Source organism: Homo sapiens, chromosome 1 (assembly GCF_000001405.40).
Source record: "Homo sapiens chromosome 1, GRCh38.p14 Primary Assembly".
Classification (NCBI taxonomy): domain Eukaryota; kingdom Metazoa; phylum Chordata; class Mammalia; order Primates; family Hominidae; genus Homo; species Homo sapiens.
The window spans coordinates 6,392,102-6,415,125 of NC_000001.11; the positions used below are offsets into that span (position 1 = coordinate 6,392,102).

At 50.6% G+C, this 23,024-nt stretch overlaps 1 protein-coding gene across 1 annotated transcript in view, besides 10 other annotated features; it reads right to left on the reverse strand.

Moving 5' to 3' along the window:
- The window catches only part of ACOT7 (acyl-CoA thioesterase 7), a 129,496-nt gene extending 127,830 nt beyond the window's left edge, over positions 1-1,666 (reverse strand). Inside the window, exon 1 of the mRNA NM_007274.4 lies at positions 1,156-1,666. Within this exon, the coding sequence (NP_009205.3) occupies positions 1,156-1,298 (143 nt within the window). The 5' untranslated portion in view covers positions 1,299-1,666. The remainder of the gene's footprint in view (positions 1-1,155) is intronic.
- Positions 977-1,066: a silencer, noted in NCBI's record as "silent region_151". NCBI's record gives its function as "represses an Ori minimal core promoter by ATAC-STARR-seq in GM12878 lymphoblastoid cells {active_cell/tissue: GM12878}" and the evidence as "EXISTENCE:reporter gene assay evidence [ECO:0000049][PMID:35858748]".
- Positions 977-2,039: a biological region, named in NCBI's record as "H3K27ac hESC enhancers GRCh37_chr1:6453176-6453687 and GRCh37_chr1:6453688-6454200".
- Positions 1,015-1,526: an enhancer, noted in NCBI's record as "H3K27ac hESC enhancer chr1:6453176-6453687 (GRCh37/hg19 assembly coordinates)". NCBI's record gives its function as "activates a minimal SCP1, AML or CMV promoter by ChIP-STARR-seq in primed H9 embryonic stem cells {active_cell/tissue: H9 hESC(primed)}" and the evidence as "EXISTENCE:reporter gene assay evidence [ECO:0000049][PMID:30033119]".
- Positions 1,337-1,786: a silencer, noted in NCBI's record as "silent region_152". NCBI's record gives its function as "represses an Ori minimal core promoter by ATAC-STARR-seq in GM12878 lymphoblastoid cells {active_cell/tissue: GM12878}" and the evidence as "EXISTENCE:reporter gene assay evidence [ECO:0000049][PMID:35858748]".
- Positions 1,527-2,039: an enhancer, noted in NCBI's record as "H3K27ac hESC enhancer chr1:6453688-6454200 (GRCh37/hg19 assembly coordinates)". NCBI's record gives its function as "activates a minimal SCP1, AML or CMV promoter by ChIP-STARR-seq in primed H9 embryonic stem cells {active_cell/tissue: H9 hESC(primed)}" and the evidence as "EXISTENCE:reporter gene assay evidence [ECO:0000049][PMID:30033119]".
- Positions 2,040-2,550: an enhancer, noted in NCBI's record as "H3K27ac hESC enhancer chr1:6454201-6454711 (GRCh37/hg19 assembly coordinates)". NCBI's record gives its function as "activates a minimal SCP1, AML or CMV promoter by ChIP-STARR-seq in primed H9 embryonic stem cells {active_cell/tissue: H9 hESC(primed)}" and the evidence as "EXISTENCE:reporter gene assay evidence [ECO:0000049][PMID:30033119]".
- Positions 3,303-3,827: an enhancer, noted in NCBI's record as "H3K27ac-H3K4me1 hESC enhancer chr1:6455464-6455988 (GRCh37/hg19 assembly coordinates)". NCBI's record gives its function as "activates a minimal SCP1, AML or CMV promoter by ChIP-STARR-seq in primed H9 embryonic stem cells {active_cell/tissue: H9 hESC(primed)}" and the evidence as "EXISTENCE:reporter gene assay evidence [ECO:0000049][PMID:30033119]".
- Positions 21,992-22,493: an enhancer, noted in NCBI's record as "NANOG-H3K4me1 hESC enhancer chr1:6474153-6474654 (GRCh37/hg19 assembly coordinates)". NCBI's record gives its function as "activates a minimal SCP1, AML or CMV promoter by ChIP-STARR-seq in naive and primed H9 embryonic stem cells {active_cell/tissue: H9 hESC(naive and primed)}" and the evidence as "EXISTENCE:reporter gene assay evidence [ECO:0000049][PMID:30033119]".
- Positions 22,494-22,993: an enhancer, noted in NCBI's record as "NANOG-H3K4me1 hESC enhancer chr1:6474655-6475154 (GRCh37/hg19 assembly coordinates)". NCBI's record gives its function as "activates a minimal SCP1, AML or CMV promoter by ChIP-STARR-seq in naive and primed H9 embryonic stem cells {active_cell/tissue: H9 hESC(naive and primed)}" and the evidence as "EXISTENCE:reporter gene assay evidence [ECO:0000049][PMID:30033119]".
- Positions 22,518-22,757: an enhancer, noted in NCBI's record as "active region_81". NCBI's record gives its function as "activates an Ori minimal core promoter by ATAC-STARR-seq in GM12878 lymphoblastoid cells {active_cell/tissue: GM12878}" and the evidence as "EXISTENCE:reporter gene assay evidence [ECO:0000049][PMID:35858748]".

Genomic DNA, 23,024 nt, shown 5'->3' on the forward strand with positions numbered 1-23,024 from the left:
ATGAGACTGAGAGTCAAGAATCGCCATAGACCCAGGACTTGCTATATGCCCAGCCTTCCTGGAGATGTCAACATCTACAGGAAAGTAACTTGCTTCTATTGGACTTGGCTTGAGCCCAAGGTCAGTCTGTGATGCCCAACCCCCAAATGTGAGGAACCCACTACCAAAACAGAAAGCAGCTCTCACTCCTGGTAGTTCATCAAGCAGGATAGGACCGGTCGCAGGCCACAGAGCCTGTGTGCAGTGGCTGAAAACCTAGACTCCTTGTCCTCACTTAGCTCATGCACAAATGCCAGCCTGCTGCTTCCGATTCTGCCGAAGAGAACTGCAGAGTAACCTTCAGGCTGCCCTCCCCACCTCCTATGGGAAATGAGCTTGTTCATGATCTCCAGCCTCCAGCTTCCTCTGGGGGCCTGCATCTATCTACTCAGTACCTGGTGGAAGAAGAGGGGGTGCTCTAGAAGGACAACCCTTTGCCTCTATTGTGTAAGATGCTTTCAGGCCCAACAGACCACTGATTCCCTTTTCTTCATAGTAAACTGTTAGAGGTAGACAGTATTATCTGTTCTTCCTTTCAACACCTGCCCTCCCCCAAACCGAAGCAGTGCACTGAAGACGGTAGCTCTGCAACCTCCTCCCACAGGGGCACCCACCGAGGGGCTCGCGCGGCTCTGGGCACCTCCCCTCCACCTCTGGGGGCTTTGGTTAGCGCAGCACAACCGCCGAGGTAATGATCCCGAATCCTCGAGGAGGCTAAGCAGGACCACGGGGCTGAGGCTCCGGGATGCTCGGGCGAGGCCCGAGGCGGGGCGGCCCACGGGCGCCGGTCGCCGGGCTCTGGAGCTGTGCATTGACCTCCGCCCGCCCCGTCCCTGCCTGGCTTTCTCGCCCAAACGGCCCGTGGCGCGGCCGCCGCCCTGGAGATGCGGCCAGGAGGAGCCGGCTGGAGGCGGGCGGGGGCCGCCCGGCTTGTGCGGCATCGCGAGTCGCATCCCGGCCGGGCGGGCGTCCGGGGCGGCGGCGCGGAAGGCCGTGCGGGGAATCGGCGGGCGGGGGCGGCCTCGGCGGGTGGGGACCACAGAGCCAAGCGGGGCAGGCCTGGGGCGGTGACCGGCGCGCCTGGCCGCTGCAGGCTGCGCGCGGGCCCTCTCTTACCGGCAGATCTGGATGGCGGACGGCGTCTCGACGTCTGGGCCCGACATGCTGGGGGCTGCGGCGGCGGATGCGGCGGGCGGCTGCAGAAGGGCGCAGGTGTCTGGCAGGCCCGGCGCGGAATGAATGAGCCCGGGCCGCGCCATAAAGGGGGAGGGCAGAGGTGGAGCGATGGGGCTGGTGAGGCGGGGCCTGCGCGCCGGGGGCAATCGAACGCGGCCTCCCCGCGCCGACCCCGCCCCCGCGCCGGCCCCACCCCGAGCCCCGCCTCCCAGGCCGCCAAGGCTGCAGAGAGCTCGCGCGGGCGTACGATTCTGGCGGCGTGGGGGCCCAGGCAGCCGCCGCTTCCAGAAGGTTCGGTGGCGGTTGGGCCGCGCCGGTGCGGGGAAGGCCCGCTAGCCGCGGCAGCCGCGCCCGACCCGGTGGCAGCCCCGAGGGAAGCGTCTGGGGCGGCCTAAGTGGCGGAGCAGGGCGGACTTGGGCCCTCACTCTCCGCGCGGCGGTAAATATTTGTGCTGGGCGTTCCCGGCCGCCCGCGCCGCCGATTCGCTGCCGCGCCCAGTGCCTGGGCGGCCGGATGAGGTCAGAGCGGAAGGCGCGGCCCGGGCTCCTGGCAGTGGGGCCTGATTCCCACCCCCGCCCCCAACCCACCCCGGCACCAGTCGCCCGCATCGCGGCTCTCGCTAAGATCGGCCCTAAGAGAGAATGGAAGGCTGTTTCCTAGAAAGGAGCATTGGTGGCGGCTGCTGGGAAGACACGGGGAATGGAACGGGCCTTTGCTTCCGCAGCACAAAGCGTCACGAGGTGGGGAGGAGGAAAGGCCGGCGACTATCTACACCGCCGCCTGCAGCTTTTACTGGGAGCGCTGAGCGCCAGCCTGGAGGTGCACGTGTTGCAGTGAGGAGCCCTGAAACATGCGTGTTTTACTGCACAAGATGTGCCCTTGAATGGAGTCTAGGCCAGTCGGGGTCACCAAAAAAAATCCACCAAAAAACACCCAAGAAGGGAGAAGCGGTCACCCCCCACGTGCTGGAATGACAGCTTTTTACTTGCTAGGCAGTTGGACCTTTTCCGAATTTTCTACAATGCACATAGATTTGTACTTACATCTTTAAATTAAAACCCACGCAACTCCGGCTCCCTAGTGCAATTTGAACAACCCATTTACACTCAGCTAGGTAGCTCTGAAGGAACTGTGCCTCACCCCGGTCACCCTTGAGTTACCAGACCGTGGAGGCAGCCCACAGCATGATCTGTAGCTCCCAGAAGCAGGGGCAGTCAAAGTCAGAACTCTGTGATTTCAAGACTTTTATACTAAGAATTTTGTTTTTCTGTTTTCTTTTTTTTTTTTTTTTTTTGAGACGGAGTCTTGCTCTGTTGCCCAGGCTGGAGTGCAGTGGTGCAATCTCAGCTCACTGCAAGCTCCGCCTCCCAGGTTCACGCCATTCTCCTGCCTCAGCCTCCCAAGTAGCTGGGACTACAGGCGCCTGCCACCACGCCCGGCTAATTTTTTGTATTTTTAGTAGAGACGGGGTTTCACTGTGTTAGCCAGGATGGTCTTGATCTCCTGACCTTGTGATCTGCCCGCCTCTGCCTCCCAAAGTGGTGGGATTACAGGCGTGAGCCACCACGCCTGGCCTGTTTTCTTTTTTTGATATAGAGTCTCGTTCTGTCGCCCAGGCTGGAATGCAGTGGTGTGATAGCTCACTGTAACCTCTGCCATCCAGTTTCAAGCAATTCTCCTGCCTCAACCACACTGAGTAGCTGGGACCATAGGCATGCACCACCACGTTTGGCTTATTTTTGTATTTTTAGTACAGATGTGTCCAGAATTGGTGGGTTCTTGGTCTCACCGACTTCAAGAATGAAGCCGCGGACCCTCGTGGTGAGTGTTACAGCTCTTAAGGTGGCGCATCTGGAGTTTCTTCCTTCTGGTGGGTTCGTGGTCTCCCTGGCTCAGGAGTGAAGCTGCAGACCTTCACAGTGAATGTTAACGGCTCATAAAGGCAGTGTGGACCCAAAGAGCGAAAGAACAACACTCCTACAGCGTGGAAGGGGACCAGAGTGGGTTGCCACTGCTGGCTCGGGCAGCCTGCTTTTATTCTCTCATCTAGCCCTACCCACATCCTGCTGATTGGTAGAGCAGAGTGGTCTGTTTTGACAGGGTGCTGATTGGTGTGTTTACAATCCCTGAGCTAGACACAAAGGTTCTCCATGTCCCCACCAGATTAGCTAGATAGAGTGTCGACACAAAGGTTCTCCAAGTCCCCACCAGCGTAGTTAGATACAGAGTGTTGATTGGTGCATTCACAAACCCTGAGCTAGACACAGGGTGCTGATTGGTGTGTTTACAAACCTTGAGCTAGATACAGAGTGCCGATTGGTGTATTTACAATCCCTTAGCTAGACATAAAGGTTCTCCATGTCCCCACCAGACTCAGGAGCCCAGCTGGCTTCACCCAGTGGGTCCCGCACTGGGGCTGCAGGTGGAGCTGCCTGCTAGTCCCGCACTGTGTGCCCACACTCCTCAGCCCTTGGGTGGTCGATGGCACTGGGTGCCGTGGAGCAGGGGGCGGTGCTCATTGGGGAGGCTCGGGCCGCACAGGAGCCCATGGAGTGGGGGGAGGCTCAGGCATGGCGGGCTGCGGGTCCCGAGCCCTGCCCCGGGGGAAGGCAGCTAAGGCCCTGCGAGAAATTGAGCACAGCAGCTGCTGACCCAGGTGCTAAGCCCCTCACTGCCCGGGGCCGGCGGGGACGGCCGCGGCTCCGAGTGCGAGGCCCGCCGAGCCCACGCCCACCTGGAACTCGCCCTGGCCCGCAAGCACCGCTCGCAGCTCCGGTTCCGCCCACGACTCTCCCTCCACACCACACCGCAAGCTGAGGGAGCCGGGTCCGGCCTTGGCCAGCCCAGAAAGGGGCTCCCACAGTGCAGCGGCAGGCTGAAGGGCTCCTCAAGTGCCGCCAAAGTGGGAGCCCAGGCAGAGGAGGCGCTGAGAGCGAGCGAGAGCTGTGAGGACTGCCAGCATGCTGTCACCTCTCACAGATAGGGTTTCACCATGTTGGCCAAGCTGGTCTTGAACTCCTGACCTCAGGTGATCCACCCACCCCAGCCTCCCAAAGTGCTGGGATTACAGGCCTGAGCCACCTCGTCCGGACGCAGACTTTTGTTTTTTAGTGAGAATTAAGTTGATGCAAGCATCAAGGGCCCCCAAGCCTGTTCAAACACCACCTCTTCCCAATTGAATCCTGAAATGGTTGGAAGCAGTAACTAGATTTAGAGCCTCAGGCAAGGTAGTTTCCTTTTTTTTTTTTTTTTTTTTTTTAAATCTTTTGAGACAGAGTCTTGGCTCTGTCACCCAGGCTGGAGTACAGTGGCACAATCCCTGCTCACTGCAGCTTCTGCCTCCAGAGCTCAAGCAGCCCTCCCACCTCAGCCTCCTGAGTAGCTGGAGCCACAGGCATGTGCCACCATGCTCAGCTAATTTTTGTACTTTTCTGTATAGAAGGAGCCTCACCACATTGCCCAAGCTGGTCTTGAACTCCTGGGCTCAAGTGATCCACCTGCCTTAGCCTCTCAAAGTGCTATGATTACAGGTGTGCATCACTGTTCCCAGCCTGGCAGTTTCTTTACCTATGATATGGGGGTGATAAATACTTTCCTGACCGTTGTGAGGACTACTTGGCAGGCTGAGGTAGGGCCTTTCTTCCTCTTCCCTCCTCAAACCTTCTGTTTCTCTATACTGCTCTTCCCCCAGCTATGAGTGCAGCAAGAATTTACTAAGACCCCATGCTCCCTGTATAGGTGTGCTTGCTCCTCTGAGCATTACAGACACTTCATTGTTCAAAATCTTCTAAATCTGCCTGGCATGGGGGCTTGCACCCATAATCCCAGGAGGCTGAGGCAAGAGGATCCCCTGAACCTAGGAGTTTGAGGCTGCAGTGCCCTCTGATGGCTCCTGTAAACAGCCACTGCACTCCAGCCTGGGCAACATAGACTCTGTCTCTTAAAAAAAAAAAAAGTTCAAATGCTGCTTGGGACACAAATCAGGGACACAAAAAGCCAGATTCCAGCCACACACTGAACCAGAGGGAATCTTAGACAAGGATGGGCCAAGTGGTTTAGAATGAAATAGCCTGGGCCCTCCAGAGTGAGGCCAAAAAGTGATCTGGAACAGTTCCTATACTTTTGGGAAAGGGTGTGGCTACCCTTCCACCTGAGACAGCATCTGTCCCTCCTGCTCACATCACTACCCCGAAGGTGGTAGAGGGACCCAGAAAAGATAACAGCTCAGCCCAGAGATTATCATGTACCCATTCTGCACTGTAGAAAGAAAATAGTGCTCCAGATTACTACTTATGATGTTGCCCTGTTTTTAAGGATGGCAATGGGGGCGCCCAATTCCTCAGCAAAAACCTTGTGAATGATTTTGGCCATAGTGCTAATGGATTTACACTGATTTTGCACCTTCCACAGTCTCACCTTCTCGTGTTAGGCTATTTTCTACTTGCTCCTCAAGCTATGGGCCATTTCTATCCCTGCTTTCAGCAAAACATCTCAAAAGAGCTGCTTACACACACACCCTCTCCCCTCACCTCCCATCCTCCTTTGAACCTGTTCCAGTTTGGTTTTTGATTCTACCAGTCAATCTATCAAGGTCACTAATTCCTTCCAAGTTGCTAAATCCGATAATCTGTTGTCAGAAGTCATTTTCCTTGACCTCTCAACGGCATTGAGCAGATGTGACCTCCCTATCCTGGAAGCGCTCCTCCCTCACGTCCGTCTTCCTCCCTCGCTGGCCACTGCTCAGCCTGCTCTGCTGGCACTGCCTCCCTGCCTCCTGTCAGAACTTTAGACAAGCCCCAAGCAGTGCTTGAACTCTTGAGGTCTCATTCTGTCTCATCACTTTTTTTTTTTTTTCCTTCAGACAGGGTTTCATTCTGTCACCCAGGCTGGAGCACAGTGGTGCAATCACAACTCACTGCAGCCTCGACCTCCTGGGCTCACATGATCCTCCCACATCAGCCTCCTGAGTAGCTGAGACCACAGGCACACACCACCATGCCCGGCTATTTTTTGTATTTCTTTATAGAGTCTGGTCAGGCTGGTCTCGAACTCCTGGGCTCAAGCGATCCACCCATCCTGGCCTCCCAAACCAAAGTGCTGGGATTACAGGCATGAGCCACCATGCCTGGCTGTCTCATCACTCTAAATTTATTGTTATTTTTATTTTTTTGAGACAAAGTCTCGCTCTGCTGCCCAGGCTGGAGTGCAGTGGCGCGATCTCGGCTCACTGCAACCTCTGCCACCCGGGTTCAAGAGATTGTCGTGCTCCAGCCTCCAGAGTAGCTGGAATTACAGGCCCCCACCACCACACTCAGCTAATTTTTTTATTTTTAGTAGAGACAGGGTTTCACCATGTTGGCCAGGCTGGTCTTGAACTCGCGATCTCAGGTGATCTGTCCGCCTTGGCCTCCCAAAGTCCTGGGATTACAGGCATGAGCCACTGCACCCAGCCTGTCTCATCACTTTAAGTCCCATCTGTATAATACATATCTCTGGCCAGCTCAGAGCTCTCCCCTAAATTCCAGATCCATGTATCCCTTGTCTGCACCAAATCTCACTTTGGTTGCATGGCAGGTACCCGACACTCACCTTGTCCTGATGCCCCTCAGAAATGGCCATCCCAGGAAATTGCAGTCCCGTCCCTCCAGTTGGTCAAGCCAAGACCCAAGGAGTCACCCGTGACTCTCTCTCTCCCTCACACCCCTCATCCAAACCATCAGCACATCCTGCAAGCTCTGCCTTCACAATGAATCTGGGATCTGAACAGTCCTCACTGTGGCATTCAGGGTTCTGCCCCACAGCCACATCCACGCTTCTGACCTCATGAGCTCTCTCCCCTGGCTCACTTAGCTCCAGCCACCCTGAGCTCCCGGACAGTCTTCGAATGTGCCGGACATATCTCAGAGGCTTCACGCTTGCTCCTTCCTCTGCCTGGGCCACCCTTTACTCAGGCAAACATCACCTTCTAAATAAGGCCTTCCCCAGCCATTCTCTATTAGGCCCATTGCAGTCCCCCCACTCTTCTCCAGTACTCCCAGTTTTCCTCCCTGGTTTATTTTTCTCGTTAGCACCTAACACCATTTAATACGTATTGCACCCATATGTTTATTGCCTCTCCCCCAACTAGAAGGTATAGAGCAGGAATTTTTTACTGTTTTATTCACTGCTGTATCCCAAGCTCCAAGAAGAGTGCCTAGCACATAGTAGGTACTCAATAAATATTTTATGAATGACTTCATAGAGATAATTATTATATCAACAGCAGATATTAATTCATTATATTTAGCTTATACTCTTTAAAAATATTGACAAACTGTCACTTTAAACAATCTTTAAATATTTTAAACTATCTTTAAATATATGGTTTAGGCCGGGCGCAGTGGCTCATGCCTGTAATCCCAGCACTTTGGGAGGCCGAGGTGGGCAGATCACAAGGTCAGGAGATCAAGACCATACTGGCTAACACGGTGAAACCCCATCTCTACTAAAAATACAAAAAATTAGCCGGGCGTGATGGCGGGCGCCTGTAGTCCCAGCTACTCAGGAGGCTGAGGCAGGAGAATGGCTTGAACCTGGGAGGCGGAGCTTACGGTAAGCCGAGATCCCACCACTGCACTCCAGCCTGGGCCGCAGAGCAAGACTTTGTCTCAAAAAAAAAAAAAGAAAAAATATGTATATATCTATATATGGTTTAAATAGGGCTGGGCGTGGTGGCTCACGCCTGTAATCCCAGTACTTTAAGAGGCCGAGGCAGGCAGATCACGAGGTCAGGAGTTCAAGATCATCCTGGCCAAGATGGTGAAACCCCATCTCTACTAAAAATACAAAAATTAGCTGGGCACGGCAGCGCGCACCTGTAGTCCCAGCTACTCGGGAGGCTGAGGCAGGAGAATCACTTGAACCCAGAGGGCGGAGGCTGCAGTGACTCAAGGTCGCGCCACTGCACTCCAGCCTGGGCATGAAGTGAGACCCCATCTCAAAAAAAAGACTCACTGCTGCCTGTACCTCACTGGCTTCAGCGGTCCTCCCACCTCGGCATCTCAAGTAGCTGAAACCCCAGGCACACGCCACTGGCTGTTTTTCTATTTTTTGTAGAAATGGGGTTCTCACCATGTTGCCCAGGCTGGTCTTGAACTCCTGGGCTCAAGCAGTCTCCCCACTTTGGCCTCCCAGAACGCTGGGATTTCAGGTGTGAGCCACCATGCCTGGCCAGGAATCATAATATTGAGGAAAAGGAGGAAGATATAAAAGAATCCCTGGCCGGGCACGGTGGCTCACGCCTGTAATCCCAGCACTTTGGCGGGCCAAGGTGGGCAGATCACGAGGTCAGGAATTCAAGACCAGTCTGGCTAACATAGTGAAACCCCGTCTCTACTAAAAATACAAAAAATTAGCTGGGCGTGGTGGTGGGCACCTGTAGTCCCAGCTACTCGGGAGGCTGAGGCAGGAGAATGGCATGAACCTGGGAGGCGGAGCTTGCAGTGAGCCGAGATCCCGCCATTGCACTCCAGCCTGGGCAACAGAGCGAGACTCCGTCTCAGAAAAAAAAAAAAAAAAAAAGACCGATCTGGCCAACAAGATGAAACCCCTTCTCGGCCGGGCGCGGTGGCTCATGCCTGTGAGCTTGCAGTGAGCCAAGATCATGCCACTGTACTCCAGCCTGGGCGACTGAGTGAGACTCCGTCTCAAAAAAAAAAAAAAACCCTTCTCTACTCGGGAGACTGAGGCAGGAGAATCGCTTGAACCCAGGAGGCAGAGGTTGCAGTGAGCCAAGATCACGCCTTTGCACTCCAGCCCAGTTGACAATGCAAGACTCCGTCTCAAAAACAACAACAACAAAAAAAAAAAAAAACAAAAGAAAAAAACCAACGAATACCTATAGTATCATGCCACACACGCAATGATCTAAAACTCTGTTAGGAGAACATAAGTAGGTGGTAAAGCTATAAAGAACAAGGAAATTATTATCACAAAACTCAGGATAGCGGGTACCTCTCAACGGAAGCGAGAGGATTGCGCTGGGGGATCACCTGGGGGTCGGGAGTGTTCATGTTTTCTTGACCTGGGGAATAGTGTACATGCTTACAATAAATGTTTTACATTGTGCATATGTTTTATGCATTTTTATGTTTATGTTCCAATTTTTTTAAATTAATGGGAATATCTGGGATGTGAGGTTGTGGACAATTTTCTTTCTTTAAATTTTTTTTTTTTTTTTGAAACAGAGTCTCACTCTGTTGCCCAGGCTGTCGCTGGCACAATCTCAGCTCACTGCAAACCTCCGCCTCCTGGGTTCAAGGGATTCTCCTGCCTCAGCCTCCCGAGTAGCTGGAACTACAGGCATGTGCCACCACACCCGGCTAATTTTTTGTATTTTTAGTAAAGACAGCATTTCACCGTGTGAGCCAGGATGGTCTCCATCTCCTGACCTTGTGTTCCGCCTGCCTTGACCTCCCAAAGTGCTGGGATTACATGCGTAAGCCACCAAGGCCGGCCTCTTTCTTTATATTTTTAAGGAAGTAGTGAGCCTGCCTCGTGGTTAAGGGTGTGGACCATCCAGTCAAAATTCTGTATCATAGCTTTACTTCCTACCCAGGCAGGTCACCTACCCACTCACTGGGCAGGTTGCTTCATCAGTAATGTGATCATAGTGCTGTGAGAACTGAACAAGTAAGGGAAGACATGCAATTAAGCATTCTAAAATATTAACTATTAGTGTATTTGACTCCATTAAACATAATAAATGTCAGTTTTTGAACTGAAGATTTATATAACTCAGAGCTCTAAAATAGAAGAGGACCAGGCTCAGTGGCTGACTCCTGGAATCCCAGCACTTTGGGAGGCCAAGGCAGGAGGATCACTTGAGGCCAGGGGTTCAAGACCAGCCTGGGCAACATACAGAGACCCCACCTCCACAAAAAATTAAAAAATTAGCCGAGTGTGCAGTGACTCACGCCTGTAATCCCAGTACTTTGGGAGGCTGAGGCAGGTGGATCACGAGGTCAGGAGATTGAGACCATCCTGGCTAACACAGTGAAACCCCGCCTCTACTAAAAATACAAAAAAAAAAAAAAAATTAGCCGGGCGTGGTGGCGGGCACCTGTAGTCCTAGCTACTCGGGAGGCTGAGGCTAGAGAATGGCATGAACCAGGGAGGCAGAGCTTGCAGTGAGCCGAGATCACACCATTGCACTCCAGCCTGGGCGACAGAGCGAGACTCCGTCTGAAAAAAAAGAAAAAAAATTAGCCGGTTGTGGTGGCACACACCTGCAGTCCCAGCTACTCTGGAGGCTGAGGTGGGAGGATTGATTGAACCCAGGAAGCAGAAATTGCAGTGAGCCAAGATCACACCAATGCACTCCAGCCTGGGTAACAGAGCGAGACTCCGTCTCAAAAAAAAAAAAAAAAGAAAAAAAGAAAGGTGTGTGGAACAGGGCCTGGCATAGAGGAAGGGCTGTGTACAGCTTTGTGAATCAGCTTGAGAAGCCAAGCAGCCCTGGGGTCCTGGGGGCTGCAGGAATGGATGCGTTTGACCAGATGGGAGGGATTCAGATCACCTTGGCCCAAGGAGAAGACCCTAACTGGTTCAAGCTGGGATTCACACAAGAGGAGGACACTGCAGGATTCTCCAGGGTCTGCCATCACAGCCTCCCAGGAATCATACAGGATGCAGCCGGAGAGCCGCTCTGTTCACACAGCCACTGTGTTTCTTTCATGTTAATGAATTTAGCTCTTGTGTTTATCCTCTGCAGAGATGATAGACACTTCATGATTATTCCTCTTGTCCATGGAATTGAATAGACAAGACCCTAAGTCTGTTGCCAGCAGGAAATGTGAGTAAATGCTGAAGCATACACATAGTCTTCTGTTCCCAAAGGGCCGACACATCTAAAAGACAAACAGAAGAGGCTACTTAGAGGGGCACGATGGCTCTCCTCTGTAATCCCAGCACTTGGGGAGGCTGAGGCAGGTGGATCACTTGAGCCTAGGAGTTCCAGACCAGCCTGGGCAACATGGCAAAACCCCGTCTCAAAAAAAAAAAAAAATTAGCCGGGCATGGTGGTGTGCACCTGTGGTACCAGCTACATGGGAGGCTGAGGCGGGAGGATCTCCTGAGCCTGGGGAGATCATCTGGACATCAGAGTAAGACCATCTCAAAAAAAAAAAAAAAAAAGGAACAGCCTCTCCTCCTAACTGAACCTTTTTTTTTTTTGAGACGGAATTTTGCTCTTGTGGCCTAGGCTGGAGTGCAATGGTGCCATCTCAGCTCACCACAGACTCCGCCTCTCGGGTTCAAGAGATTCTCCTGCCTCAGCCTCCCAAGCAGCTGGGATTACAGGCATGCCATGTGCCACCATGCCTGGCTAATTTTCTATTTTTAGTAGAGACAGGGTTTCTCCATGTTGGTCAGGCTGGTCTCGAACTCCTGACCTCAGGTGATCCACCCACCTCGGCCTCCCAAAGTGCTGGGATTACAGGGGTGAGCCACCGCACCCGGCCTTTTTTTTTTTTTCTTTGAGACAATGTCTTGCTCTGTCCCCCAGGCTGGAGTACAGTGGCATGATCACAGCTCACTGCAGCCTCAACCTCCTGGACTAAAGAGGTTCTCCCACCTGAGCCTCCTGAGTAGCTGGGACTACAGGTGTGCACCACCAACCATGGCCAGCTAATTCTTTTGATTTTTATAGAGACGGGGTCTCAGTATGTTTCCCAGGCTGGTCTCGAAGTCCTGGACTCAAGTGATCCTCCTGCCTTGGCCTCCCGAAGTGCTGGGATTACAGGCATGAGTCACTGTGCCTGGCCTAACCTGATCTTTAAAGTCAAGTGCTCTGACCCCAGAATGAACCACTCCAAAGAGACCTAAAACTCATAAACGACCCATTTGAAAGCGGGACCCATAATCCAAGAGGGAAGGTCAAAAATAAATGGGTCATTTCCCGGAGAAGAAAAACACCTCTATGTTTGGAGTAGACATACATTCATTTCCCAAAAGCAGCATTTGGAGATCATCTCTTTAAGTAGGTCAAACTTTATAACTAGAATTATAGCCGTGCCCCGGTGCCTGCAAATTAACGGGGTTAGTGGGAGGAGATCTAAGTGACATGACCTGGCCGGGCGCGGTGGCTCACGCCTGTAATCACAGCACTTTGGGAGGCCGAGGCGGGCGGATCACGAGGTCAGGAGATCGAGACCATCTTGGCTAACACGGTGAAACCCCGTCTCTACTAATAATACAAAAAAATTAGCCGGGCGTGGTGGCAGGCCCCTGTAGTCCCAGCTACTGGGGAGGCTGAGGCAGGAGAATGGCGTGAACCCGGGAGGCGGAGCTTGCAGTGAGCCGAGATCGCGCCACTGCACTCCAGCCTGGGCGACAGAGCGAGACTCCGTCTCAAATAAATAAATAAATAAATAAATAAATAAATAAATAAATAAATAAATAAAAGTGACATGACCTGTGAAATTCTCCGCGTTGCTTCCCGTAAGCCGCAAGGCGCTCCGTCTCTCGGTCTGTGGCCCTCTGGCTCCACCTAGGGGCCGAGCAAATTCCCAAGCGCTGGGTCCCGCGCCCCACCCGGGATCCCACCTGGGCGTCATCTCTTGGGGCGGTCTTGCTACAAATCACAATAAACGTTCCCCCACTCAAATTTTTAACAAGAACTCCGTGATTATGACAAAAGACACACAGTCAAGGGTAATTCTATTTTTCCTCATGATAATAAAAAGCTGAGGTATAATTGTATGTTTCTCAAGGGCCTTAAAGAAAAACGATGTTGGTTTTATGCATCAAGTAATTGCTGTGTGAAGAGCTAAAGGGCCCTCATGTGCAGGAGATAATCAGCGGGAGCTCTGCACCAGTGTGACTGTGGCCAACACACTGGAGGCGACTGCTCCCAGCCCGCAGCCCCACCCAGCAGAGGCCGGAGCCCAAGACGGTGCCCGAGTCGCTTCCTCACCGTTGGTGAGCAGGCTCCCAGAGAAAGAACTGCCTTCCAACCAAACGCCCACCAGATGAGGGAGATTTGGGCGAAACGGCCACACATTCATCTTGACACCTAGGATCACTCAGAGAGCAGAACTACCTTCTGTCCTCAGCAGGACAATAACTCAAGTTAGATTCAGCATCAGCGGGAATGACCTGGAGGGGCTTCCTAACTGGTGATGAGGCGGCTAACTAGTTGAGTAAAAATGTTATAAACCAAAGGGTCCGGAGTCTTACAGTCCAAACCCACCTCCATGCACCTCCTAGCTGTGTGGCCTTAGGTAAGTTCCTTGGCCCCTCTGCACTTCAGTTTTCTCATCTGAAAATGGGGCAATAATAGTATCTACCTTGTCAAGTTTGTATAAAGATTAGGTGAGTTACCAGGCACACATCAGAGCAGGGCCTGGTGCAGAGGGAGAGCCTGGTAGATAGCACCATTATACCTAATTCATAGTGAGCATTCTCAAGGGCCAAACAGGCATTTATTGAGCATCTTATATATACCAGGCCCTGTGCTGGGCGCTAGTATCTTACCTATGATACCACATGGTACAGAAACCATCTGGGTATTCATAAAGGGCAGTTGCAGAAAAAATGCACAAATCGTAATTGTACGGCTTAATGCATGATCATAAAGGAATGCACCCATTAACCCGTCCCCAGATCAAGGAAGACATCACCAGCACCCCAGAAGTGCTTCTCTTGCTTTCTGCCAAATATGGGGACCTCTTCTCCCTAAAGGGAATAACCATCCACAACATCAGTGCTGTAGTGGGTAGCAGGAATTTGTGCATGCTTGTTGCTGTATAATGTTGCATTGCATGAATAATGAATATAAGGATCTTTGCATTTCTTTTTTTTTTTTTTTTTTTTTTTTGAGATGGAGTCTCACTATGTCGCCCAGGCTGGAATGCAGTGGCGCAATCTCAGCTCACTGCAAGCTCCGCCTCCTGAGTTCACGTCATTCTTCTGCCTTAGCCTCCTGAGGAGCTGGGACTACAGGCACCCGCCATCATGCCCAGCTAATTTTTTGTACTTTTTGTAGAGATGGGGTTTCACCATGTTAGCTAGGATGGTCTCGATCTCCTGACCTCGTGATCCACCCTCAGCCTCCCAAAGTGCTGGGCTTACAGGCATGAGCCACTGCACCTGGCCTGCACTTCTTTCTTTTCTTTTTTGGAGACAGAGTCTCACTCAGTGGCCCAGGCTGGAGTGCAGTGGCACAATCTTGGCTCACTGCAACCTCCACCTCCCAGGTTCAAATGATTCTCCTGCCTCAGCCTCCCGAGTAGCTGGGATTACAGGCACCCGCAATCATGCCTGGCTAATTTTTGTATTTTTTGTATTTTGTTGTTGAACATGGGGTTTCACCATGTTGGCCAGGGTGGTCTCGAACCCCTGACCTCAAGTGATCTGCTTGCCTCAACCTCCCAAAGTGCTGGGTTACAGGCATGAGCCACCATACCCTGCCAAATTATGATTCATTTAATGTCTGTGGCATCTATAGTGACTCCCCTCTTTCATCCCCAATATTAATAACTTGCAACATTTCTTTTTTCTTTAGTAGTCAAGCTTAGTTTATCAATTTTATTGATGATTTAAATAAATCAGCTTTTGGTTTCAAGTATTTCATCTATTTTCTGTTTTCTAGATTTCTGTTCTTTTTATTTCCTTCCTTTGACACATTTTGGATTTAATTGGCTCATCTTTTTCTAGCTTCTTAAGCTGGAAGTTTAGATAATTGCTTTTTTTATTTTCATTTTTTTGAGACAGAGTCTCACTCTGTCACCCAGGCTGGAGTGCAGTGGGGCAATCTCAGCTCACCGCAACCTCTGCTTCCTGGGTTCAAGTGATTCTCCTGCCTCAGCCTCCTGAGTAACTTGGATTACAGGGGTTTCGTCATGTTGTCCAAGTTGGTCTCGAACTCCTGACCTCAAGTGATCTGCCCACCTTGCCCTCCCAAAGTGCTGGGGTTACAGACATGAGCCACCATGCCTGGCCAGATAATTGCTTTTCTTTTCTTTTGTTTTGTTTTATTTGTTTGTTTGTTTGTTTTGAGACAGTCTCGCTCTGTCACCCAGGCTGGAGTGCATTGGTGCAATCACCTGGCCAATAATCGCTTTTAGATGTTACTTTTCTCTTTTCTTTTTTCTTTTTTTTTTTTTGAGACGGAGTTTCGCTCTTGTTGCCCAGGCTGGAGTGCAATGACACGATCTTGGCTCACCACAACGTCTGCCTCCTGGGTTCAAGTAAGTCTCCTGCCTCAGCCTCCCAAGTAGCTGGGATTAGAGGCATGTGCCACCACGCCTGGCTAATTTCGTATTTTTAGTAGAGACGGGTTTCTCCATGTTGGTCAGGCTGGTCTGGAATTCCCAACCTCAGGTGATCCGCCCGCCTTGGCCTCCCAAAGTGCTAGGATTACAGGCGTGAGCCAATGCACCCTAGGTGTTACTTTTCTAGCATAATCCTTTAAAACTCTGAATGTACCCGCAGGCCAGCATGGTGGCTCACGCCTGTAATCCTAGCATTTTGGGAGGCCGAGACGGGCGGATTGCCTGAGCTCAGGAGTTCGAGACCAGCCTGGGCAACATGGTGAAACCCTGTCTCTACTAAAATGCAAAAAATTAGCTGGGCGTAGCGGCATGCACCTGTAGTCCCAGCTACTCTGGAGGCTGAGGCAGGACAATCACTTGAACCTGGGAGGCGGAAGTTGCAGTGAGCCGAGATCGTGCCACTGCACTCCAGCCTGGGTAACAGAGTGAGACTCTATCTCCAAAAAAAAAAAAAAACTCTAAATGTACCCACAAGCATTGTTTTAGCTATATCTCATAAATCTTGCTATGTTGTTGTATTTTCATTTCCATTTAGTTCTTAACATTCTCGAGTTTACCTTGTGATTTCATCTTTGACTCATTAGTTATTTATAAGTCATTGTTAATTTCGGGCCAGGCAGGGTGGCTCATGCCTGTAATCCCAGCACTCTGGGAGGCTGAGGAGGGCAGATTGCTTGAGGTCATGAGTTCGAGACCAGCCAGACCAACATGGCGAAACCCCCATCTCTACTAAAAATACAAAATTAGCCGAGTGTGGTGGTGCACACCTGTAATCCCAGACACTCTGGAGGCTGAGGCAGGAGAATCGCTTGAACCCAGGAGGCAGAAGTTGCAGTGAGCCAAGATGGTGCCATTGCACTCCATCCTGGGCAACAAGAGCGAAACTTTGTCTCAAAAAAAAAAAAAAATTGTTTAATTTCCAAGAATCTGAGGAGTTTCTGGCTCTCTCTCCCTTTTTTCTCTCTTTCTTTTCTTTCTTTTTTTTTTTTTTTTTTTTTGATGGAGTTTTGTTCTTGTTGCCCAGCTTGGAGTGCAGTGGTGCGATCTCGGCTCACTGCAACCTCCACCTCCTGGGTTAAAGCAATTCTTTTGCCTCAGCCTCCAGAGTAGCTGGGATAGCAGGCATGTGCCATCACACCCAGCTAATTTTTTTTAATGTATTTATTTTTAAATGTATTTATTTATTATTTTTTATTTTTTTGAGACAGAGTTTCACTCTTGTCACCCAGGCTGGAGTGCAATGGCGTGATCTTGGCTCACTGCAACCTCTGCCTACTGGGTTCAAGCAATTCTCCTGCCTCAACCTCCCGTGCAGCTGGGATTCCAGGCACCTGCTACCATGCCCGGCTAATTTCTGTATTTTTTAGTAGAAACCCAGTTTCACCATGTTGAAATTTTTGTATTTTTAGTAGAAACCCAGTTTCGCCAGACTGGTCTCAAATTCCTGACCTCAAGTGATCCACCCGCTGAGGCTTCCCAAAGTGTTGGGATTACGGCCATGCCCCGCCAGTTTCTGGCTATCTTTCTGTTGTTGGTTTTTAATTTAATATTGTGTGGTCAAAGAACATACACTGTATAATTTCAGTTCCTGTAAGTCTATTGAGACTTCTTTTATGGCCCAGCAGATGGCCTACCTTTGGTGACTGTTCTACAAGCCCTTCAGAATGTGAATAGAATAGCTGATGTTGGGTGTAAGATTCAAGAATGGTCAATTAGACTGAGTTTATTGATAAGGTTGTTCAAGTCTTCTATACCTTTACTGGCTTTCTCTATACCTGTTTTATCAATTACTCTGAGAAGAGTGTTGAAATCCCCAACTATAATTGTGAATTTGAGTATTTCTTTCAGTTACCAGTTTTTACTTCTTATATTTTGAAGCCCTGTTACTAAGTGCATACACAGTTGGATTTTTTTTTTTTTTTTTTTGAGAAGGGACCTTGCCCAGGCTGGAGGGCAGTGGCTTGATCGTGGCTCACTGCAGCCCCAACTTCCTGGGCTCAAGCCATCCTGTCACCTTAGCCTTCTGAGTAGCTGGGACCATAGGTGTGTGGCACCACGCCCAGTTAACTTTTTTATTTTTTGTAGAAATAGGGTTTCGCCATGTTGCCCAGGCTGGTCTCAAACTCTTGGGCTGAAGTGATCCTCTTGGCTCAGCCTCTCAAAGTGCTGGGATTACAGGCAACTGCCACCTGCCTGGCCCACATTTGGAATTTTTAAAATTGTAATGTATCCAACACAAAGAAAGGACAGGTGTCAAAATATCAATAAAAAATATATTCATTCCTATAATCCCAACACTTTGGGAGGCTGAGGATTGTTTGAGGCCAGATGTTCAAGGCCAGCCTGGCCAGCATAGTGAGACCCTGTCTCCACAAATTTTTTTTTTTTTTTTTTTTTTTTTTTTTTGTGATGGAGTCTCGCTCTGTCGCCCGGGCTGGAGTGCAGTGGTGCGATCTCAGTTCACTGCAAGCTCTGCTTCCCGGGTCCACGCCATTCTCCTGCCTCAGCCTCCTGAGTAGCTGGGACTACAGGCGCCCGCCACCATGCCCGGCTAGTTTTTTGTATTTTTAGTAGAGACGGGGTTTCACCATGTTAGCCAGGATGGTCTCCATCTCCTGACCTCGTGATCCACCCGCCTCGGCTACCCAAAGTACTGGGATTACAGGCGTGAGCCACTGCGCCCGGCCAAAATTTTTTTAAAAAGTTTTCCCAGCATGGTGGCACGTACCTGTAGTCCTAGCTATTTGGGAGGGAGAGGCAGGAGAGTCCCTTGAGCCCAGGAGCTGGAGATTACAGTGAGCTGTGATTGCATCACTGCACTCCAGCCTGGCTGACACAACCAGACCCTGTTTCTAAAATAAGTAAATAAACACACAGACAAACACACACACACACATTTCCAAATAGCCAGAAGAGAAGAATTGTAATGTTCCCAACACAAAGAAACGGCAGGTATCAAAATATCCATAAAAATATATTTCAAAATAGAAATGTCTTTATCTTCTTGATGAAATGACCCTTTTATCATTATGCTTGTTTGTTTTTTGTTTTTGAGATGGAGTCTCGCTCTGTCACCCAGGCTGGAATGTAGTGGCGCAATCTTGCCTCACTGCAACCTGTGCCTCATGGGTACAAGCGATTCTCCTGCCTCAGTGTCCCAAGTAGCTGGGATTACAGGCGCAAGTCACTGTACCCGGCTAATTTTTTTTTTGTACTTTTAGTAGAGACAGGTTTCACCTTGTTGGCCAGGCTGGTCTCAAACTCCTGACCTCAAGTGATCCGCCTGCCTCAGCTTCCCAAAGTTCTGGGATTACAGGCACGAGCCACCACGCATGGCCCCCTGCAGCTTTGAAGTCCCGGGCTGGAGTGGCCAGCAAGGGCACTCTATGGACTGGACAATTAAAGTGGACAAAGGATGGTCAGGAGACTGTGGCAATGGCCCAAATAAAAAGTAATGATCCTCCCATACCTGAAACAGTTTTCAGACCGGGAAGGAAGGCTGGGTCCCCAGGAGAAGGACCCAGCAAAATACACAGGAATGACTTACCTGGCTATCCCCAAAGAAGCCTACAGCATTTATCGGGTTATTGTACCATAGGGAGGGTGGAATACACACCCATTTCTAGGACCATTGGACATAGTGTTGAAGCTCACATTGATCCTGAGATCCAAGGTCATCATCTGTCCCTCTCAGAGTGGTGACATGGTGGTGGCCAGATTGAAAGGAATCCTGGCCTTGTCTGGCTTGCAATGGGTCCACTGGGCGAGTGGCCACTGTGGCCATTTCTCTGGTCCTCGAATGTGTAATTGGAATATAGAGACTTGACACTTGGCACAGCCCCCACATTAACTCTTTGGCCTGTGGTGAGAGCTATCACAGAGGGGAAGGTCACGTATAAATTCAACACTGCTCCCTGCCCCCAAGACAGTAAATCAGAGCAATCTGGAATCCCAGAGGATGCCAAAAATGGATGTCACTCCTAAAGACGTAAAGGTTCCATCACATCTTCATTGCATTAGTTAGTTTAGATCCTACAAAAACCACATGGACCCTAAAGGACTAGAGCAAACTCAGCCAAGTAGTAGCCCCATTGCAGATATAGTGTCTTTTGGGGTTTGGTTTTTTATTTTGATAGTAAAATACACATAACATAAAATTAACCATCTTGGTCGGGCATGGTACCTCAGACCTGTAATCCCAGCACTTTGGGAGGCTGAGGTGGGTGGATCACCTGAGGTCAGGAGTTTGAGACCAGCCTGGCCAATATGGTGAAACCCCAACTCTAATAAAAATACAAAAATTAGCCGGGTGTGATAGTGGGTGCCTGTAATCCCAGCTACTCAGGAGGCTGAGGCAGGAGAATCTCTTGAACCCAGGAGGTGGAGGTTGCAGTGAGTGGAGATCATGCCATTGTACTCCAGCCTGGGTGACAAGAGCGAAATTCCATCTCAAAAGATAAAAAATAAAATTAACCATCTTAACCTTTATTTTTTTGAGATAGGGTCTTGCTCTGTGGTCCAGGCTGGAGTGCAGTGGTGTCATTATGGCTCACTGCAGCCTTGATTTACCAGGCTCAAGCAATCCTCCCACCTCAGCCACCTGAGTAGCTGGGACTATAGGCACACGCCACCATGCCTGGCTAATTTTTTTGATTTTTAGTAAAGATGAGGTCTCACTGTGTTGCATAGGCTAGTCTCAAACTCCTGGGCTCAAGCAATCCTCCTGTCTTGTCCTCCCAAAGTGCTGGGATTACAGGTGTGAGCTACCACGTCTGGCCATCTTAACCATTTTTTTTTTTTTTTTTTTTTTGAGACGGAGTCTCGCTCTGTCGCCCAGCCTGGAGTGCAGTGGCGTGATCTCGGCTCACTGCAAGCTCCACCTCCCAGGTTCATGCCATTCTCCTGCCTCAGCCTCCCGAGTAGCTGGGACCACAGGTGCCCGCCCCCACGCCCGGCTAATTTTTTGTATTTATAGTAGAGATGGGGTTTCACCGTGTTAGCCAAGATGGTCTCGATCTCCTGACCTCGTGATCTGCCCGCCTCGGCCTCCCAAAGTGCTGGGATTACAGGCGTGAGCCACCGCGCCCGGCCCATCTTAACCATATTTAAGCATCATGCACATTCACATTGCGGTGTAGCCATCAGCAGCATCCATCTCCAGAGCTCTTTTCCTCTTGCAAAACTGAATCTCTGTACCCATGAAGCACCAACTCCCCATTCTTCCCACCCCCCAGCCCCTGCCAACCACCATTCTTAGATGTGATATCTTTGTTAGAGCAGATTAACTTGCTCTCAGGTGTATGGTCTGCGGCCATTGACTCAAGCACAGGGAATGAGAACTTCTGGAAGTGGGCCTGGACATCTGAATTGCACAGGCTTCCCAGATAGGTACGAAGGAACAAGAAACAAAACAAACATTACCGCAAATGAAACACTGTGTAAATATGTGGATTACATCCTGTAAGTACGAAGAGAATGGAAGGCATTTATCTTGTTATTGTCACTGGGGCAGATCCGGAGTCAGCTCTGGGCGGAGATGGATTTACCCTGGAGCTGCTGAAGCTTAAGCTGGGGGCTGCTCAGGAGCCTGGATGTAGAGTAGGAAGCAGTTCTGAGCATGGAGGGGAAGCCAGGTGTGCCAGCCAGAAGCATCCTATGAAAAGAGAGGCCAAAAGGATGAGATGTGAATCTCCAAGCACCACTAGTTAATATGACTTATTTTCATTCTGAATATTCATTTTCATACTTAGAAGTCTATATTCGTAATTTTAGATTAGTTCTCCTACAAAGGGCCTCAAAATTTAGTTCCTACAATACCTGGATCTGCCTCTGATTTTTTTTTGTGTGTGAGACAGAGTCTCACTCTGTTGCCCAGGCGGGAGTGTAGTGGCGTGATCTTGGCTCACTGCAACCTCTACCTCTGGGTTCAAGCGATTCTCCTGCCTCAGCCTCCCAAATAGCTGGGACTACAGACACCCACCACCATGTCCAGCTAATTTTTGTATTTTTGGTACAGCTGGGATTTCGCCATGTTGACCAGGCTGGCCTCAAACTCCTGGCCTCAAGTGATCTGGCTGTCTCGACCTCCCAAAGTGCTGGGATTACAGGTGTGAGCCACCATGCGCCACCACCCACCCCCCACATTGCCCAGCTAATTTTTGTATTTTTAGTAGAGATGGGATTTCACCATGTTGACCAGGCTGGTCTCAAATTCCTGACCTCAAGTGATCCACCTCTCTCGGCCTCCCAAAGTTCTGGGATTACAGGCATGAGCCACCGCGCCCAGAATGCCTCTGATTTTTGAGGTCTACAAAGGTTCGTGTTTTGTTTTGTTTTGTTTTGTTTTGTTTTGAGACAGAGTCTTGCTCTGTCACCCAGGCTGGAGTGCAGTGGCATAATCTCAGCTCACTGCAACCTCTGCCTCCTGGGTTCAAGCGATTCTCCTGTCTCAGCCTCCCGAGCAGCTGAGACTACAGGCGCGCACCACCACGCCCAGCTAATTTTTGTATTTTTAGTAGAGATGGGGTTTCACCATATTGGCCAGGCTGGGCTCAAACTCCTGACCTCGTGATCCACCCACCTCAGTCTCCCGAAGTGCTGGGATTACAGGCGTGAGCTGCCACGCCCAGCCTGGTTCATTCTTCTTTAACATTGTCCTGTGCTGCCTGAGGTTCGTGAAAAATCCTAACATAACGAACACCAAGATGTGGGGCTCTCTGGTTCCCCCTCCACGACAGAACCAGCGGTGGACACGTATTCAGCCTGGAATCTTCTTCCTTCAGGCCTCACCCCCAGGACAGGGAACCCCTCATTCCTGCGCCTGGTCCTGGACCAGCTGCCGAGCCCCTGCTCCCTGCTGCCCCCCAATGGACCTCGGGTAACAAGACACCACGTGTGTGGGGCGTGTTCTCTAGATCCGTTCTCACGATCCTGAAACCATTATTGAGCCTTACAGCTGCTTTAAGCGCCCGGGGCTTCATCAGAGCCTTTGAAAACCCCAGGTGAAACTAGTTACTCACTGGGAAGCCTCGGTGTGTGGCTGCCTTCTCCCTGATACTGCATGCCCGGGCAGCTCTCTGAAGGGCAGCCACAGCCACACGGTTACACAGGGACACACAAACACACGCACATGCACACCTACACACACGCAGGCACTCCCACTCAGCCCCCAGAGATCCATCCACACTCGAAGGAGGCTCAGACAAGAAGTTAAGCTAGCAGAAACAACATCATTGGCTGGGTTAGCTCCTCTCTACAATGGCTTTAGAAACCTGGAATTTTTTTTTAAAGTACAGGCAGGCTGGGCGAGGTGGCTCATACCTGTAATTCCAGCATTTTAGGAGGCTGAAGTGGGGGAGGATCGCTTGAGCCCAGGAGTTCAAGACCAGCATGGGCAATGTAGCAAGACCTCAGGGCATCTCTACAAAAAATAAAAAAATTAGCCGGGCGTGGCAGCGTGCGCCTGTAGTCCCAGCTAGTCAGGAGGCTGAGGTGGG